The sequence below is a fragment of the Homo sapiens genome, chromosome 9, assembly GCF_000001405.40.
Source record: "Homo sapiens chromosome 9, GRCh38.p14 Primary Assembly".
NCBI classification, from domain to species: Eukaryota; Metazoa; Chordata; class Mammalia; order Primates; family Hominidae; genus Homo; species Homo sapiens.
This window is the reverse complement of record NC_000009.12, coordinates 112,290,523-112,306,231: the sequence shown is the minus strand read 5'-3', so window position 1 is coordinate 112,306,231 and position 15,709 is coordinate 112,290,523. Positions and strand designations below refer to the sequence as shown.

The following is a 15,709-nucleotide window of genomic DNA, read 5'->3' as shown; positions in this document are numbered from 1 at the left end:
GATCATGCCACTGCACTTCAGCCTGGGCGACAGAGTGAGACCTTGTCTCAAAAAAAAAGTTTAAAAAATATTAAGCAAATTAATAATTTTGTTATATTTATTTAACCATGTGAAGAATTAGGCCAACTGTGATGTTATGAGACAAGGTCCATGCAAGACTGCCCTTACATCTGACACCAATTGCAAGTGTAGGGGATTCCCGAAGCTACCCACAGGTTCAATAATTTGCTAGAAAGACTCACAGAAGTCACTGAAAGCTTTTTATTTATTTTTATTTTTATTTTTATTTTTTGAGACAGAGTCTCGCTCTGTCGCCCAGGCTGGAGTGCAGTGGCGCGGTCTCGGCTCACTGCAAGCTCCGCCTCCTGGGATCATGCCATTCTCCTGCCTCAGCCTTCCGAGTAGCTGGAACTACAGGCGTCCGTCACCACGCCCGGCTCATTTTTTGTATTTTTGGTAGAGACGGGGTTACACCGTGTCAGCCAGGGTGGTCTCTATCTCCTGACCTCATTATCCGCCCCCCTCGGCCTCCCAAAGTGCTGAGATTACAGGCGTGAGCCACCGTGCCCGGCTGAAAGCTCTTATACTCACAGCATGGTTTGCTAGAGGAAAAGGACGCAGATTAAAATCAAGCCTAGGGAAGAAATGCCTAAGGCAGGGTCCTGGGAAGTACTGTTGTCGAGTGGACACATTACTTCCCCAGCATCAGTGTGTGGCAGTAGGCAAGGAGTATTATCAACCAGGGAAACTCACTGGAGCCTTGGCGTTTACAGTTTTTGTTGGAACTCTATTATATAGGCATAAATAATTTATTGTTCATGAGGCTGATTTCAGTCTAGTTTCCAGCCCCTTCAGGTGTGACCCAAAGCTCCTACCCTAAATCACATTGTCGATCTTTCTGGCATGGCTATTCCTTACCCTATGACTGTCTGGTGACCCAAGGCCACTAGGCAGAAAAAAAAAAAAAAAAAGTCCTTTCAGGCATGATATTTCAAGGACTTAGAGATTACCTCTAGGAAGGAAAGGGCAAAAGCCACACCTTTCTTTGGACAAGGTAAGTTTTTTACTACACAAACTGTGGGCCATATTAAAATAAGGCAGTCATTTGCTAATTTTAACAGTATTTGAAAAACTCCTGTAAAAATAAAAATGCTTCTTAGTCATCACCTGTAGTGCAGTAGTAACTCGAAGTTACCCTACATTTTGCTATAGGAATTTGAGATTTCTTGTAGTTTTATCTTTTCCTCAAAAAAGAAAAGTTGTCTGTTTCACTTCTGAATATTTATCCTGAAAAAATGCTATATTAAAGACAAAACACTATAATTTAAAATAGGGGAATAGTTAAGGATGTTGTTATAGAATTTTAATAATCTACTAAAAATAATTGTGATGCAGCCTGGGCAAAATAGCAAGAGTCTACAAAAAAATAAAAAATAAGCGATCAATCAGTAGAGTAAAGTATAATAAAAAAAATTTTTCTGTCTACAAAAATTAAAAAATCAGCCAGGCAAAGTGATGCATGCCTCTAGTCCTAGCTACATGGGAGGCCAAGGTGTGAGGATTGCTTGACCTGGAAGGTTGAGGCTACAGTGAGCTATGATCATCCCACTGCAGTCCAGCCGGAGTGACAGAACGAGACTCTGTCTCACAAAAATAAATAAATGAATAATGACAGACTAACAACATGGAGAAAGCTTATCAGTTAAAAGGATAATAGAGCGGAGCATAGATTCATATTATAACTTTGTAAAATTCATATTAAGATGAATGATTTATCAAAATGAAATATGATCCAGCCATTTCACATTTATAGATTTATTCTGAGATAACTGGATAAGTAGGTAAAGATGCTTAAATAAGGTGATTACAGTGAAAATTTTTCCTTTTTTTTCTCTAAACAAATCTCATCACAGTGTTCACAGGAAAAATTCAAATGCATAGGCAGATACATGCTTTATTCTTTTTCTGAAAGGTTAACCATAAATGAGACTTTAATAAATGTCCCATACAATTCTGTACAATTGGACTCTGGTACTAAAAATGGATACATTTTTTTTTTCCTCCTAAGACAGAGTCTGACTCTGTTGCCCAGGCTGGAGTGCAGTGGTGTAATCTCGGCTCACTGCAACCTCTGCCTCCTGGGTTCAAGTGATTCTCGTGCCTCAGCCTCCCGAGTAGCTGAGATTACAGGCATGCACCACCATACCTGGCTAATTTTTGTATTCTTAGCAGAGACAGGGTTTCACTGTGTTGGCCAGGCTGGTCTTGAACTCCCGACCTCAAGTGATCCGCCTGCCTTGGCCTCCCAAAGTGCTGGGATTACAGGTGTGAGCCACTGTGCCCAGCCTGTAGTATTGATTGATTGATTGAGACGGAGTCTCACTCTGTCGCCCAGGCTGGAATATAGTGGTGTGATCTTGGCTCACTGCAACCTCTGCCTCCCAGGTTCAAGTGATTCTCCTGCCTCAGCCTTCCGAGTAGCTGGGGCTAGAGTTGCACACCACCACACCTGGCTAATTTTTGTAATTTTAGTAGAGACGGGGTTTCACCATATTGGTCAGGCTGGTCCTGAACTCCTGACCTCATGATCTGCCCGCCTCAGCCTCCCAAAGTGCTGGGATTACAGGCGTGAGCCACCGCGCCCAGCCTGTAGTATTTATTTTCAAGCTGCCCATGCGATTGTATTGATTAGCCAAGGCAGAGGGCTGTTAATCTTGCACCTGATACTCTGCTATAGGCTCTGGAAGAATATAATCTAGTATAAGGCACAAATAAGAGACCTCAAGGTATCTGAGAACTAACTTTGTGTACATATTTGACAAAATTATGTTATTGATAATTATACATACAGGAAGAATATATCATGTTAATGAACTAACATTCTGGAACCATACACATTTTAATGTTGAAAGATGATAAAAATTAAGTTGAACCTTTTCACTTGGGATAGAAAAATTCTCAAGGATGTGGTGCCATTTTATCTGTGACTAGTAGATAGGATTGGGTATGTAGCAAAGGGATAGTGCTTGAAGCAGGATAATATCATAAAAAGATGCAGAATAAGTATGATTTATTTGGAGAAAATTACATGACAGGGGAGTGTTACTGTGAGCAAGAGATCCAGATTAGAAAGATTGTTTCATTGCCATCACAGGACATTTAGACTTGATTCAGTAACCAGTGGAATAATTTCACATTAATGGTTGATTGGAAATTTATTTGGTAGGAAAGTAGGTAACAGTTTATCGAATGAGAAAAAAATAGAAAAAAAACATGAGTAACTTACTTTTCTCCCCAAATTGAAACTGAAATGGCATGTGTGCATTAAGAAGAATATAGTCAGGCTGGGCGTGGTGGCTCACGCCTGTAATCCCAGAACTTTAGGAGGCAGAGGTGGGCAGATCACTTGAGGTCAGGAGTTCGAGACCAGCCTGACCAACAGGGTGAAACCCTGTCTCTACCAAAAATGCAAAAATTAGCTGGGTGTTGTGGGCGGACACCTGTAATCCCAGCTGCTCAGGAGGCTGAGACACGAGAATCATTGGAACCTGGGAGGCGGAGGTTGCAGTGAGCTAAGATCGTGTCACTGTACTCCAGCCTGGGTGACAGAGCAAGACCTTGTCTCCAAAAAAAAAAAAAAAAAAAAAAAGATGAAGAATATAGTCAGCTTTTGGGATTCTTAGCCCTTGTCTGGGGCCTGTGTTAACAGTTTAACACCTCGTCTAGGTGCCTTTCTGGTAATCTCAAGTGTCTCTAAGATAAAGTGCTTTCCTGTACATTTCTTCTTTCCAGTTTTTTTATGTCAAAAATATGAAAAGAGTTGGTTCCTCACAGCAGGTAACTTGTTTGGATGGTAGAAAGGTGTTTGCGCTTTTGACTTCTCAAATGTTTGACTTTCAAGATACTGCCGTATTCTTTTTTCTCGTCAATTTTTCCTTTAACTCTTTTGGTAGATTTCTTATTTGCCTTTCCCTTGAGCTGTTGTATCCCTTTATAGTTTTGTTGTAGAGAGGGTATTAGGTCAATGTTTTTTTTCATTTTACAAAAAGCTATTTGCTGTCAATTGAAATTTGTGTAGTTTCTGGTATATGTTATCTGCGTTTTGTAATGTTCCTTTCTTTTCTTTTTGTTCTGCTTATCTTTGAAGGGATGCCTTCTGGACCACTGTTGTACAGAAGCACAGTGTTGAGGATGATCTGTAACAGCGGGCTGTGGCAGGGTTGAACACAGGTGTTAGTGATGACTGTTAGTGAAGACAGCAGGACTCTCAAGCCAGTAGGAATCCTTTGGCTGAGAATGAAGTACCTGTTGTCCTATATTTTATTTTTTAATTTTAATTTTATTAAACTTTTCAAACAATTAGAGATGCATGGCAAGTTATAAAGATAGTACAGAAAGGTCCTGTGTGCCCCTCACTAAGTTTCCTCCAGTGGTTACATCTTATATAATTATAGTACACCATCAAAACAGAAGCATTGGTATTGGGACAGTGCCTGTATATAGTTCTGTTTGATCTTATTGCATATGTAGATTCACATAACTACCATCACAGTCAAGATATAGAACTAATCCATCACCACAAAGATCTCCTTATGGTACCATTTATAATCACCTACCACCTCCACCCAACCATCTCTATCTCCTGGCAACCACTAATCTGTTTTCCATCTCTATAATTTTTGTCATTTTGAGAATACTGTAGGTGAAATCATAGAGCATATTATCTTTTGAGGTTGCTAAGTGTATGTTTAGTTTTTTTGTTTGTTTTTTTTTTTCTTTTTTTCAGAAAACACCAAACTACTTTCCAGAGTGTCTGTACCATTTTACATTGCTACCAGCAATGTATGAGAGATCTATTTTTTCCACATCCTGGTCTGCATTTGATATTGTAACTTTTTATTTTAGGTGTTCTGATAGTTAAGTGGTAGTATCATGGTCTTAATTTTTCCTTGAAGTGGCTTTTGATTTGCATTTCCTTAATGACTAATTAGGTTGAGCATCTTTTCATGTACTTACTGGCCTTCTTTGGAGAAATACCTTTTCAAATCCAATGGGTTGTCTTTTTTTATTGTTGATCTTAAGGGTTCTTAGGTGTTCTAGGTACCAGTTTCTTGTGAGATGTGTGACTTGTAAATACTTTCTTCCATTCTCCATGTTGTCTTTTTATTCTCTTGATGGTGTTCTTTGAAACACAAAAGTTTTTATATTTGACAAAGTTCAGTTTATTTATTTATTTATTTATTGCCATTCGTGCTTTTGGTTTTGATAATCCATTTTTTTTGTTTTTATTTTTATTTACTTAGAGATGGGGTCTCCCTATGTTGCCCACGTTGGTCTTGAACTCTTGACCTCAAGTGATCCTCCCTCCTTGGCCTCCCAAGTGCTGGGAATACAGGTGTGAGCCACTGTGCCCGGGTTTTTGTACCCCATATAAATGCAACAATATAGCGTGTATTCTTTGTGACTTTTTTTTTTTCTTTGAGACGGAGTCTCGCTTTGTCGCCCAGGCTGGAGTGCAGTGGCGTGATCTCGGCTCACTGCAATCTCTGCCTCCCGGGTTCACGCCATTCTCCTGCCTCAGCCTCCTGAGGAGCTGGGACTACAGGCGCCCGCCACCACGCCAGGCTGATTTTTTGTATTTTTAGTAGAGACGGGGTTTCACCATGTTAGCCAGGATGGTCTTGATCTCCTGACCTTGTGATCCGCCCGCCAAGCCCTCCCAAAGTGCTGGGATTACAGGCGTGAGCCACCACGCCCGGCCGTGACTGACGTTTTAGGTTTGTGAGATTTATCTGTGTTATGTGGAGCCGTAGTTCATTCTCATTGTTGTATAGTCATTGCATGCATTTACAAACATTTACTCAGTTATTCTGCAGTTGATGGCATTTAGTTGTTTCCAGTTTGACGAGTACAAATAATGCTGCTGAAGACAATCTTATATGTCTAGGTGCACACAAGCAGGCAATATCTTGGGGTTTATGCATCGGAGTAGACTATGTAAGGATCCTAGGATATTCATATATTTGACTTTAATAGATTGGATCAGACAGTTTTCCAAGTGGTACCAATTTACACTCTCACTAAATTATACTTAACTCCCATATAAGAGTTTTTGTCACCCCACATTATTACTAACATGATATTGTCCATCTTTTTAATTTTACAGTATTTCATTGTGGTTTTAACTTGCATTTCCCTGATGACCAATGAGGATGCGGTCAAATATCTTTAGTTTGATTGGATATGGTATTAGTCATTTATAAATTGTTTAAAAAAACATTTATTTCTTGTTCACTTACAATGGTGGTAGCTGTTATGGAGCTACACTTGTTATTCTGAGAATCAGGCTGAAAGAGTACCTCCTATTTGAGATATGCTCTTATTTCAGAGGGAAAGAGAAAAAACTGGCAGAAATGACTGATTTTTGAAGTTACTGTTTGGATTAAGTATAGGTCATGTCCATTCATGTTCCATTTGCCAAAGGATATTACAAAACTGTGTTGTCAATGGGGGGAGGGAGTTATACTCTTCCCACTGGAGGCATTGCAAGTCACATGGCCATGGATGGGGATGAATAATTCTTGTTCAGGAAAAGGAGAGGGTACAAATACTCTGGAACAGTGACATAGTCCACCACTTTGTGAGATGGCTGTTAAAGTCTCTTGTCATTTTTCTGTTATCTTGGGTTTTTCTTACTGATTTCTAGTGTTTTGTTTTTCCTTTTTTCTTTTTCTTAGTACGTGCTGGATATAAACCCTTTGTTGGTTTTACATATCGCAGATATCTTCTTATTCCATGACTTGTCTGTTTATTCTCCTAATGATGTCTTTTGTTAAATAAAATTGTTAATTTTAATGTTATCTAGGTTATCAGTATTTTTGCTTTATACTTGTGCTTTTTGTTATTCTTGAAAAAATACATTTCTGCAAATCTCGAAAGAGCTAAAGTGACCACCTTCAAGTGGTTTCTAACTTTATATTAACTTGATTTATAGGTAGAAACATACTGATGCTAACTCATATGTGTGGAAGATATATCTGTTAGTAATGCATTTAACCAAATTCCTCATATATAAAAATCATGTTGTGTATGTTTTAATTTTTACTATTAATACATTTAAAGCTGTGAAAATGTGTCTTTATCTGCAGGTAGCCAGCAAACCACAGTCTGTTAATTATCATATGTAGCCTGATAATATCTACATCTCAGATTTTATTAGGAAGACCTGTGCTTTAAGTGAGGCCTTAATCTTGATTTTTCTGGGAGTTGAGATTTTCAGTTTTCTTTTATCCTGCTTACTTAATTCCTTCTTCTTATTCCCAGATGTCTCTATAAACTTCCAGTGAAAGATCCAAAGGGAGTAATTTCTGGATGTTTAAATACAGGACTTGTTTAAATAATTGTATTTCTATTATATAGATATATTGGTGGTTTGTCTTTCTTCAGCAAAGGCTAAAGTTGTTCCCTACAGAAGTGGCACCTACACTTAAACATTAAATATGTGCTGTAGCACTATTGCTGTTCTAATATTTGTAGGATTGTTTGGGGATTAATTTTTATTATCCAGTGTATCAAAACACTTGTTCTTAAAAATTGGCCAAGGTAAACCAATAGTACTATTTAAAATAGGTTGGTTTTAACTTTGTACATAGTATTTATTGTCCTTCCTGAAAGTAATCTTTTAAATGTTGGTGGTAGATCTTACATTACAATGAAAAGACTTCTCTGAGTTACTTTTTAGTGTTGCCAGTTCAGATTTGGAAGTTGATCAAAACTCTTACCTGAAAAAAAGAGTAAATTACTTAAACAATTGTTTAAGAAATAGTCTGCATTAAAGATCATTTGGAGGATTAATGGATAAAAAGTTATTGATTATAAAGAATTTGGCCAGTATGGAAATGAAGTATATTTTCTACTTAAAAAAATACGTTGGTATTGAAAAGTCAGGATTCTTAGGGAGGACTGTACAAACTATTTGCATACAAATATATGCTACAAAAACAATGTCATAATGCAACCCCCTAAATATGGTTTGGCACTTTCAGATGTTATGTTTTGGAAACCTGCGTTTGGTTAGAAAGAATTTAAAGATTATGTCCCCATTTCTGTGGTGGCAGTTGTGTTTATATAGTTGTGGATTTGCAGTAATTTTTTCTTGCTATGCAGTTCATTTGATTTTGTGATTCTTGAGGAGTTCCCCCTTTAATGTCTTCATACAAAGATGAAGTAATATTATTAGCTTTTAATACTTTTAGTAAATATGGACCATTATCTAAAACTTGGTTTATTAACCAAACATTGGTTTTGCTTTTCAGCGGGGATCTGATGAGCTTCTTTCTTCTGGCATCATTAACGGACCTTTTACCATGAATAGTTCTACTCCTTCTACAGGTGTGTATGGTGAGTTTTTTTTTTTTTTTTAATATTTGATTTCTGTGGGTTTCAAATTGTTTTTTTACAATGCTCTTATTTTGCTTATATCATGTTGAAGTGCCACTGTTCATAACAAAAGCTAAAATTTGTTTCGGTAAAGTACTATATACTGTTTACATAGGTGAAATCACTAGTTATACCTCTCAAATTTTAAGGATTCATTTGGATCTAATTTGATGATTCAGTTTTTTGATTGATGTTCTTTGTGTTACATAATTTTGATAAAAATACTGTCAATAAATTGGTGACCCAGAACTATTGAGTAAAAGAGCTAGATCTAAAACTTGGGTTGAAGTCAGGTGTGGTGGCTCATGCCTGTAATCCCCAGCACTTTGGGAGGCCGAGGCTGGCTGATCACCTGAGGTCAGGAGTTCAAGACCAGCCTGGCCAACATGGCGAAACCCCGTCTCTACTAAAAATACAAAAATTAGCTGGGTGTGATGGCGGGAACCTGTAATCCCAGCTACTTGGGAGGCTGAGGCAGGGAGAATTGCTTGAACCTGGGAAGCGGAGGTGGCAGGGAGCCGAAACGTGCCATTGCACTTCAGCCTGGGGGACAGAGCGAGACTCCATCTCAAAAACAAAAAACAAAACTTGAGTGATGATGGACTTGAATAGAAGTATTAAAGTATAAGACGATACGTTTTAAAAATTGAAGTAATTTACGTACCATAAGGTACCACGTGATTTTAAAATAAATGTTCTTGAAATTTAGTGGCCGTAAAGTGAATTGAAGGAGTGCAGTACTGGAAAGAGAGTGAGCAGTGAAGAGGATTTATTATTATTATTATTATCCTTTATTTGGATTATTGCTGTAATCCTAATAAAGGATGGTAACTGGCACTGTGGCAGTGGTAGTGTGATGAAGAAAATTGAATAACTTATAGAAGATAAAATTGATAGTAATTGATGATTAATTGAATGTTTGAATAAGGGATATCACCATTGATTTCCAGGTTTTGAACTTGGACTTAGATAATTGGGTAGATGAATGGTAATGAATGGTTGTGCCATTCATTTCTATTCGAATGTAGGAAGAACAGAGTTGGACGACACAGGTTCAGATTTGTATATATTGAGTTTGAGTTTCCTTTGGAACATCCAAATGGAAATGACAGATAGGCAGTGGGTCCCTGGTCTCAACATCATGAAAGAAATTTGATAGTATCATACACAGTTGACAACTGAAGCCATGGACATGGAGAGTTTCAGAGAAGGGAGGGTTTCTTTATCCAGATGTTTTTGGAGTTGTAGGGAGGTGGGGATGAATGGACCTCCTTTTCCAGACCAGGAGCTTATATGGTGTTTGGGACCATGGGAACATAGATGTTCGGGAAAGTGAACAAGTATAGAGACAGAATGAAAAGAACTGGATCTACCAAGCTCATTCTAGCTTATTTTAATGTAACTATTAATAATAATTCTTTTTAAAAATGAAAGCGTTAAAGCATACAGGATACTAGAACAATGGTACGAAATTGTGACAGCCTCAGGCAAACTAGGACTTAACAGTCATTCTATTTAGGTGTTGTTATTAAAAAGTTAACATCTGATTCTGTCACCTAACACTAAAATTCTGTTTAGGTGTTGTTTTAAAAAATTCTCTTAGCTTAATGTGGGCATGTCTTTTTCCATGTCAGCTTTAAATTATTTCATCGAATTCAGGGGCGTCCAATCTTTTAGCTTCCCTGACCCACATTGGAAGAATTCTCTTGGGCCACACATAAAATACGCTAACATTAATGATAGCTGATGAGCTAAAAAACCATTGCAAAACAGTCTCACAACGTTTTAAGAAAGTTTACGAATTTGTTTTGGGCCGCATTCAAAGCTGTCCTGGGCTGCATGCTGTGCACAGGCTGCATGTTGGACAAGCTTGATCTAGTTCTAAAACAAAGAATCCTTCTTCCCCGAACCTTTACCTACAATATCTTAGGGATTCTGATAAGAATTATGTTAGAGTTATATGTTAATGTGAAATGTTGATCATTTTTTGGTATTATCTTTCCATTTGGGATTATGACCTATGATTCCATGTTTTTAGGTTCTATTTTATGTCCTTTGACAATTTTGAAAAAGTTCCACACTTTTCCATATAAATCACATAGTTTTCTTTTAAAATGTATCTTAGGAATTAATGGCAGAGATTGTTTATTGTGTACCCCAATGCTATTCTTTTTTTTTTTTTTTTTTTTTTACCAACAGAACCTCAATTTTTATCTGACACATTGCTACCCAGATGAAACTGCTACTCTTCTGTTCTTCATTATAGCTAGATGTGGTCATGTAATTAAGTCTTGACAAGGTATAAGTGGAAGTGTAATATGAAACTTTTAGGGCATCTCTACATGGGTACACTGTTTTTCCTTTTTTTTTTTTCCTCCAATCTTATTGCCTGTGGGTGTTCCAGCTTCTTAGATAATGATGGGAATGACAGGCATCTGTAACAGAGACAGCTAGAGCCTGATAACATTGTCACCATTCCAGATCTGGAATTCCTACATTTAGACTTTTCATGTGAGCAAGAGATTAACTTCTTTTTTTTTTTTTTTTCTTTTGAGACTGAGTATTGCTCTGTCTCGCCCAGGCTGGAGTGCAGTGGCGCAGTCTCTGCTTACTGTAACCACCGCCTCCTGGGTTCAAGAGATTCTCCTGCCTCGGCCTCTGAGTACCTGGGATTATAGGCGCCTGCCACCGTGCCGGGCTAATTTTTGTATTTTTAGTAGAGACAGGGTTTCACCATGTTGGCCAGGTTGGGCTCGAACTCCTGACCTCGAGTGATCCACCTGCATTGGCCTCCCAGAGTGCTGGGATTACAGGCGTGAGCCTGAGATTAACTTCTTAAGTAACTATTACTTCAAATATTGTTATATACAGCTAAACTTAATTTAGTATTTTTGCTATTATTGAATGGGAATTTTTTTTTCCTGTTTTCATTTTTAGCTGGATACTGCTAGTACAGAGAAGACCTATTGATTTTTGAATATTTATTTTATGTATACTTACTTTAACTAAAATGTCTTAGTAATTTTTTATTAGTCTTTTGAATTTTGGAATTATTCAATGATGTGTCTTCAAATAAAGATAATTTCGAGTATATAAATATATGGATTGTTTTGTTAACTTGTTATGTATTCACTGGAACCTCCATAAATGAGTTGAATAACAGTGGTAATTTGTGATTATCTTTGTCTTGTTCTTAATTGCAATGGAGGTGGCTTTATTATTTAATCTTTTAATATAATGTTTGCTGTTGGGATTTTTTGTTTTGTTTTGTTTTTGAAACAGGGTCTTGGTCTGTTTTCTAGCCTGGAGTCCAGTGGCACAAACACGGCTCACTGCAGCCTCAACCTCCTGGGTTCAGGCAGTCCTCTCACCTCAGCCTCTCAAGTAGCTGGGACTACAGGCATGTGCCACCACACCCAGCTAATTTTTTATTTTCTGTAGAGATGGGGCCTTACTATGTTGTCCATAGGCTGGTCTCAAACTCCTGGGCTCAATCAATCAATCCTCCTTCCTTGGCCTCCTAAAGTGCTGGGATTACAGGCATGAGCCACTGTACCTTGCCAGGTTTTGATAATAATCCTTCATCATACTTTAATCGGTTCCTTCCTTTTCTATTTTACTTAGTTTTTATTATCAATGGCTATAAATGTTACCATCATCTTTTGTGCTTCTGTTAATTGTGAGATTTGGTCTCCATTAATTTTTTGATGTAGTGAAATACAATTTCCTGATGTTGACCCATTATTGCATGCCTGGAATAAACCAACTTGGTCGTGGGGTATTTTGATATGCTATATTCAGTTATAGGTTAGATGGCTAATAGAACCGTAATACAGACCTAAAAATACAGATTTAAGTTTATTTCTAAGTTCTTCTGAAGTCTGGGTAAGTAGTCAGGGGCTTACTTAGTTTCTTGAATTGTGTTGGGGACCAGACTTTTTCTCTTTTGTTGTTCTTTTATCCTCAACACGACTACCTTCTCAAGATAGAAAATAGTACTCTCTTTCCATCATACCCACAGGAAGGGTAACAAGGACAGTTGAAGCTGAACTTTTTCCTCCATCTTGGGCCATAATGATGAGACTTACACACTAAGGGTGAGAGTTGAGAAGTGGAGGCTGAGTCCATTGTAGGGACAAGACTGAGAAGTTGCACTTTTTTCTCATTCTGTTAGCTAGAACTTCGTCACATTGACACACCAGCTTCAAGGGGGCGAGGGTGAAGGGTCTAGGAAATTGGTCTTTATTCTGGTGTGTCCTGTCTAATCATAATTGAGGGAGTTCTATTACTTTACAAGGGAAGGAGAATAGAGATATTGAAGGGGACACTCAATCACATATGCATTCAACCACATATGTACTGTATTTTGTGTATGTTTATAATTTTCACAGCTATATTAATAAAATATTTCTTCATTGCTTTCTTTTTGTACTCTAATTGGTTAGTATTACTGTTACCATAACATTATGACATACATATACCATATAATCAGCATCCAGAGCAAGAAACAGGCCATTGCTAATACTCACAGGAATCCTTCTTTCCTTTTTCATTCATTTCCTCCTTCCAAGTGTATTCATTAGCTTGACTTCTAACATCATAAGTTAGTTTTTTGTGTTTTTAAACTTTATATGAATAAGCCAATAAATATAGTATATCGTCCTTCCTGTCTGGGTTCTTTCATTCAACATTATGTTTGTGAGAGTAACTTGTGTTGTGTATTGCCCCAATCCCTTTCGTTCTTCTCATTTCTATATAGTATTTTATTGTATCAGTGGATATTTGAATTATTTCCATTTTATATGTAGTGTTGCTATGAATATTCCCTTTTTGTGTGTTTCACCGTGTTTGCTTGTGTGCCCTCTATCTCTCATTTTGGTCAAAAATACAAAATTTACCATCTTGTACATTTTTGAGTATACAGTGTAGTAATGTTAACTATAGGAACATTGTTGTACAACAGATCGCTAGAAGTTTTTCATCTTAACAAAACTGAAACTCTGTCCATTTAGCAACAACTCTTCCTTTTCTCTTCTAGCCCATTCTGCTTTCTGTTTCCAAGAGTTTGGCTATTTTAGATACCTCATATAAGTGGAATCATGCAACATTTTTCTTTTTGTGACTGGCTTATTTCACTTAGCATAGTGTCCTCAAGGTTCATTTATGTTGCAGCAAATGGAAGGGTTTCCCTTTTTTGTAGGGTGAATAATTGTAGGTATATACCACATTTTATTTATCCATTCATCTGTCCATGGGCATTTAGGTTGCTTCCACCTCTTAGCTATTGTGCTATTGTGAGTAACGCTGCAGTGAACATGGTGTGCAGATATCTCTTTGAGATCCTGTTTTTAATTCTTTGGTATATACCAGAAGTGAGATTGCTGGATCATGTGGTAATTCTGTTTTTTATTATTTTGAGGAACCATCATACTGTGTTTCATAGTGGCTGCACCATTATTCCCACCAGTGGTACACAGGGGTTTCAGTTTTTCCACATCCTTGTGAATACTTATTTTTTGGGTTTTAAATTTTTTCAAATAATGGCCATCCTAACAGATGTGAGGTGATATGTGGTTTTGATTTGTATTTCCCTGATGATTAGTAATGCTGAATATCTTTTCTTGTGCTTGTTGGCTATTCGTATATCTTCTTCAGAGAAATGTCTATTCAAGTCCTTTACCTATTTTTTGTTTTGTTTTACTAATTTTAAAATTTTCTCTCTAATAAGCACTGTCCCCAGACTTCAATTTGCCCATTTTTTGATTGGATTGTTTTTGTTGTTGAGTTGTAGTAGCTCTTTATGTATTCTGATTATTAACCCCCATCACGTATGTAGTTTATGATTTCTTTCTCCCATTTCTTTCATTGTCTTTTTACTCTGTTATTTCCGTTGCTGTGCAGAGGGTTTTGAGTTTGATATTAGCCCCATTTGTTCATATTTTCTTTTGTTGCTTGTGCATTTGGTGTTATATCCAAGAAATCTGCCAAATCCACTGTCATGAAGCTTTCCCCCTTTGTCTCTTATAGGTCTTTTATAGTTTCAGGTCTTATGTCTAGGCCTTTAATTCATTTTGAGTTAATTTTTTTTCATGTGGTGTAAAGTAAGAGTCCAATTTCATTCTTTATAAATGTGGATATACATTTTACCAGCACCATATGTTGAAGAAACTGTTCTTTTCCTATCGTGTAGCCTTGGCATCTTTGTTGAAGATCATTTGAACGTGTAAGTGAGAGTTTATTTCTGGGTTCTCTAATCTGTTCCATTGGTCTATATGTTTGTCTTTATGTCAGTAACATACTGTTTGAATTACTATAGCTTTGTAATGTGTAGAAGTTAGGAAATGTGAGGCCTTCGGCTTTGTTTTTCTCAAGATTGCTTTGGCGATTTGGGATCCTTTGTGTTCTATATGAATGTCAGGATTTTTTTTTTTTTTCCTGCAAAAATGCCATTGGGATTTTGATAAGGATTGCATTGATCCTGTAGATCACTTTGAATATTATGGACATTTAAACAATTTCAAGTCTTCCAATCCATGAACATGGATGTGTTTTCTTTTTTTTTTGGAGACAGAGACAGAATTGTGCTCTTGTTGCCCAGTCTGGAGTGCAATGGCACAATCTTGGCTCACTGCAACCTCCGCCTCCCAGGTTGAAGTGATTATCCTGCCTCAGCCTCCCAAGTAGCTGGGACTACAGGCGCCCGCCACCATGCCCAGCTAATTTTTGTATTTTTAGTAGAAGTGGGGTTTCACCTTGTTGGCCAGGCTGGTCTCAAACTCCTGACCTCAGGTGATCCGCTCACCTTGGCCTCCCAAGGTGCTGGGATTATAGGTGTGAGCCACTGTGCCCGGCCACATTTATGGATATTCTTGACAAATCTTTTTGTGGACACATGTGTGCATTTTACTTGGTATGTGTCTAGAAGTGGAATTATTGGGTCCTAGGATATGCAGGTGCTTATCTTTAGTAGAGTCTACTAATTTTCAAAAGTGATTTTATACTCTTACCAGAAATATGTCAGTTTAGTTATTCCAGAACTTTGCCAACACTTGATTGTGTGTGTGTGTGTGTGTGTGTGTGTGTGTATATATATATATATATATATTTTTTTTTTTTTTTTAAAGACAGAGTCTGACTTTGTCACCCAGGCTGGAATGCAGTGGCGTGGTCTCGGCTCACTGCAACCTCCGCCTCCTGGGTTCAAGCGATTCATGTGCCTCAGGCTCCTGAGTAGCTGGGATTACAGGCACGTGCCACTACACATGGCTAA

The 15,709-nt window shown here is 37.6% G+C and overlaps 1 protein-coding gene across 18 annotated transcripts in view; it reads left to right on the top strand.

Annotated features, from left to right (window-relative positions):
- Positions 1 to 15,709, top strand: part of PTBP3 (polypyrimidine tract binding protein 3) — a 162,168-nt gene that overhangs the window by 73,651 nt on the left and 72,808 nt on the right. For 11 of the 18 annotated variants that reach the window (XM_047424272.1, XM_047424273.1, XM_047424271.1 and 8 more), the window contains one exon: positions 8,316 to 8,400. In XM_047424272.1, the coding sequence (XP_047280228.1) occupies positions 8,367 to 8,400 (34 nt within the window). In that variant the 5' untranslated portion in view covers positions 8,316 to 8,366. The remainder of the gene's footprint in view (positions 1 to 8,315; positions 8,401 to 15,709) is intronic. The other 7 variants (XM_047424274.1, NM_005156.7, NM_001244898.1 and 4 more) reach the window with 1 other exon arrangement.